Source organism: Homo sapiens, chromosome 1, assembly GCF_000001405.40.
Source record: "Homo sapiens chromosome 1, GRCh38.p14 Primary Assembly".
Classification (NCBI taxonomy): domain Eukaryota; kingdom Metazoa; phylum Chordata; class Mammalia; order Primates; family Hominidae; genus Homo; species Homo sapiens.
Window position 1 is genome coordinate 148,761,082 of NC_000001.11, and position 5,258 is coordinate 148,766,339.

Below are 5,258 nucleotides of genomic sequence, written 5' to 3' on the forward strand. Positions count from 1 at the left end.
GAAAGAATGAGAAAGATTAGATGTAGACAACATTTTATCTGAATGACAAACATATACTCTATGATAGGAACACATTTAGACACTGCTGAGGATCACTCTTTGGACTTAGGTAGGCATCCTAAACTATAAATCAGGCCTGAACACCTTTTCTCTTACACATACAAAACAATTTATTTAAAAACTGGTGCTAAGTAGGATCTACAAATCTAGAGTTAAATGGAAAAACATGGGTAGGAGTTTCTGGAAATATAAGTCAAATAATTAACATGAGATTGAAGAAACAGTCAATTATTTTCTTCACAGGACAGAGAAAAGGAAAAATCTTATTTGGAATGAATGTTATATTTATTGTAATAGGATTAGCTTTGTCACCTAAATACCATCATTTTTAAAGGGCTATTCTTTACAGTATAGTTCTTTTCCTCTCAAGGAAAAACTGCTTTAGACATTTTAATTGAGGAAAAGGCAGAGCCTTTGGAGTGTTGCTGCCCTCTTCTGGGAACATGAAGTCATAGCCTGAGAAATTGCTAGAGGATCCTAAATATTGCAATATATAACAGGAATAATTCCCTTTTCCCTATCAAAAGTAAAATAACTATGAAACTGGATGTTAGTCTCCAGAGAAAAGCCAGGATTGTACTGGTCACAAATGCTTTTTTAAACAGTTATAATAGTAATAAAAGTGAAACAGTATGGTATACTTGTACATCACTTCAAGGTTTATAAAATCTTCATGACCATTATTGCATTTTACCTTCTTTTATCCTCAAATAGTTCAAGTGAAGTAGGCAGAACAGACGTTATTCTCATTTTCACATGGGGAAACTGAAGTACATAGTGTCTAAAAAACTTACCTAAAGTTCTGCTAGAGTGCTGAGCTGGGCCTTGAAGTCGTCTCCCGACTCAGAGTTCAATGCTCTTTTCACCCACTTCCCTACTGCATGCAATGTAAGTAATTTGTTTCTGTTGCAGTTACATCCCTCCTCAGCAATGTCTACATTACACCACAGTGTCCAGTAATTTATAGAAAGAAATCTGCTGCTTTGTATATGATTCTAGCAAGGCTACGCTGTTATTGTGGCAAAAACGGATATATTTAAATTCCACAAACGAGTGGATGGGCTATAGCAGAACTTCTTAAACTTCTGCTTGGAAGTTCTTTAGTGTCTTTTCTTCTTCTTCTTCTTCTTCTTAGATTCTTTAAAGCAAGCAGAGTTTTGTAATATTAAGTCTCAACTCTGCTACTAGGGAAAAATGAGTTTGAGAAAGACGGAAGAAAAAGTGGAGTATAAAAATTTTAAAAAATCAAGAAAAACCAATTTGAAAGTCAAAGTTCTTTTATTCTAAAGCTCTAAGTGTGCAAATAAACCCACTCTGTATATTTATGCAAATAGCTAAACAAAAGGCAGAAAAATAGATATAATCTTCAGTCCATGTATTGGCCTAACTGCTTGTCCCTGCATGCCCAGTCCAACAAACCTCACTGCCTACCTACACAACCAGCAAGTAAAAAATTGGGAGTTTAGCAAGTACAAATTGCCATCAGTTGGTCAAAACTAAGCCAGTAAAACCAGTTTCTTGGGTACGGTAAAATATTTCTTACTTTATATGGCATATTGGTCAAGGTATTTATCAGTGAACTGGAGTCACTTTTTCAAAAAATTAGTTAACAGATCTGAAATGCTCCTTAAATATTGTCTCCACAACATAAAAGTAATCGTAAGCATAATGGTCAATTGGAAACATTCCCAGTCCAAGATCTGTTGCTATATTTGACTTCTGTGCTTTCTCCCCAAGTCTAATTTATCTCTATGCCTTAATTTCTCCTCCTTCTTTGCCTCCATACCTTTCAATTGTTTCTGCCACCAAAGAATCAATTTCACTTGCTGTATTGTTTTCCCTTCTCCAATGTGTTTACTATATGTTGATATAATTGTACTGGTTCTCTCTTTTGTTGCGACTTTTCAATGTGCCTTTCTTTTCCCATTTCATTACTAGACCTACACCCTTTTGCCCCACTTTGTTTCCTTCTTTTATTCAAATTGTGTGTACCTATGATTCATGAAACCCAGTTCCAAAAAACTTATGCATACATCTCTGTAATTCAATGAACTTATACCACGAATATTTGTTGCCCACCTCCAATGTGTCAGCCACCGCACCCAATGCCAAGGATTCAAATTGAATAATAATTGATCTCTATCCCAGGCATCTCATGAGGCACATAGCCAAGGAGACAAACAAGTATGCACTGACAGCTAGTTTAAATTTGTAGGTTTTATAATAGAAATATGAACAAGTTATTGTGGGAGAATGAAAACACAGCTTCTCCCAGGTCAGAGAGAAGGGGGGTATGAGAATGTCAGAGAGGCTTTATGAAAGAGACATTTGAGCTGGGTCTTTGAAGGAAGAGCAGAACTTTACCAGGTGTCTTGTTTGTTTTGCTATATGCTTTATTTTACATTTTTAAAACACTTTTCTTTAAGGTTTTGGTGTACAGATTATTTTGTTACCTGGTAATAAGCACAGTACCCAATAGGTAGTTTTTCTGTCCTCTCCCTCCTCCCACCCTCTACCGTTAAGTAGGTCTTGGTGTCTGTTGTTCCCTTGTGTACATGTGTACTCAATGTTTAGCTCCCGCTTATAAGTGAGAATATGCGGTATTTGGTTTTCTGTTCCTACATAATTTAGCTTGGGATAATTGCCTCCAGCTCCATCCATGTTGCTGCAAAGAACATAATCTTATTTTTTTATGGCTGTGTATATTCCACGGTGTACGTGTACCACATTTTCTTTATCCAGACTACCACTGATGGGCATTTAGGTTGATTCCATGTCTTTGCTATCGTGAATAGTGCTGCGATGAACATATGCGTGCATGTGTCTTTATGGCAGAACAATCTATATTCCTTTAGGTATATATCCAATAATGGGATCGCTGGGTCGAGTGGTAATTGTTGCCGGTTCTTTGAGAAATCACCAAAGTGCTTTGCACAACGGCTGAACGAATTTACATTCCCATTAGCACTATATAAGTGTTCCATTTTCTCTGCAACCACGCCGGCATCTATTGCTTTTTGACTTTTTAATAGCCGTTCTGATTGGTATGAGATGGTATCTCATTGTGGTTTAGATTTGCATTTCTCTAATTATTAGTGATGTGGAACATTTTTTCATATGCTTCTTGGCCACATGTATGTCTTTTTGAAAAATGTCTGTTCGTGTCATTTGCCCACTTTTTAATGAGGTTGTTTTTTGCTTATAAAGTTCCTTATAAATTCTGGATATTAGACTTCTCTAGGATGCATAGTTTGCAAATATTTTCTCTCATTCTGTAGGTTATCTGTTTACCGTGTTCACTGTTTTGTTTGTTTGTTTTTGGCTATGCTAAAGCTCTTTAATTAGATTCCATTTGTCAATTTTTGTTGTAGTTGCAATTGTTTTTGGCATCTTTGTTATGAAATCTTTGCCAGGTCCTATTCCAGAATAGTATTTCCCAGGCTATCTTCCACGGCTTTTATAGTTTTAGGTTTTATATCTAAGTCTCTACTTCATATGAGTTGATTTTTGTATATGGCATAAGGAAGGGGTCCAGTTTCAATCTTATGCATATGGCTAGCCACTTATTTCAGCACCATTTATTGAATAGGGAGTCCTTTTCTCATTGCTTGTTTTTGTCAACTTTTTTCAAATATCAGATCATAGGTGTGCAGCATTATTTCTGGGCTCTTTTCCGTTCCATTGGTCTATGTGTCTGTTTTTGTACCAGTACCCTGCTGTTTTGGTTACCGAAGCCTTGTAGTATAGTTGAAATTGGGTAGTGTAATGCCTTCAGCTTTGTTCATTTTGCTTAAGATTGTTATGGCTATTCAGGCTCTTTTTTAAGTTCCATATGAATTTTAAAAGTTTTTTTTTCTAATGCTGTGAAGTATGTCACTGGTAGTTTCATAGGAATAGCATTGAATCCATAAACTGCATTGCGAAGTACAGCCATTTTAACAACACTAATTCTTCCTATCCATGAGCATGGAATCTTTTTCCATTTGTTTGTGTCATCTCTGATTTGAGTAGTGTTTTGTAATTCTTCTTGTAGAGATCTTTCACCTCGTTATCTATATTTCTAGGTATTTTTGTGTGTGTGTGGCTATTGTGAATGAGATTGCATTCTTGATTTTGACCCTCAGATTGAATGCTATTGGTGTATAGAAATGCCACTAATTTTTGTACATTAATTTTGTATCCTGAAACTTTGCTAATTGTTTATCAGATCAAAGAGCTTTTAGGCAAAGACTATGGGGTTTTCTACAGAATCATATTGTCTGCAGAGATAGTTTGACTTCCTCTTTTCCTTGGATGTCTTATATTTCTTTCTCTAACCTGTTATCTCTGACTAGGACTCTCAGTACTATGTTGAATAGGATTGGTGAGAGTGGGCATCTTTGTCTTATTCTGGTTCTCACAGGGAGTATTTCTAGCATTTGGCCCATTCGGTATGATGTTGGCTGTGGGCTTATCATAGATGGCTCTTATTTTGAAGTATGTTCCTCTAATGCCTAGTTTGCTGAGGGTTTTTAACATGAAGGGATGTTGAATTTTATTGAAAGCCCTTTCTGCATCTATTGAGATGACCATGTGGTTTTTGTTTTTAGTTGTTTATGTGATGAATCACATTTATTGATTTGCATATGTTGAACCAAACTTGCATCCCAGGGATAAAGCTTGCTTGATTGTGGTGGATTCGTTTTTGACATGCTGCTGGGCTTGGTTTGCTAGTCCAGCAAATTGAGTCGTTGAGGATTTTTGCATCTATGTTCCTCAAGGTTATCCATATTCAGAACTCTATTTTTGTCATGTCAGCCTGGTTAAGAACCACTGTTGGGGAAATAGCGCAGTTGCTTGAAGGTAAGAAGGCACTCTGGCTTTCTGAGTTGCCGGAGTTCTTGTGCTGGTTCTCACCTGTGTGGTCTGATGTTGCTTCAACCTTTGAAGTTGCTGTTTCTTGGATAGGTTTTTCTGCTTTTGTCTTCTTTGATGCCCTTGGGGGTCTGAATGTTGCATATAATGGGCTCAGCCAAGTGGCCTCATTTCTGGAAGATTGTAGGGGCCAAGGCTGAGCTCAGCACTCATGAGCTGTGTATTCTAACTCTGAGGAGGCTGGTACTGGACCTCTGGCTTTGTTTTCTAGCCCCTCAAGGTTAGGAGCCTAGCAGGTGTCTTAAACTGTTTTCTGTTGCGATAATAGAATACCTGAGAGTGGG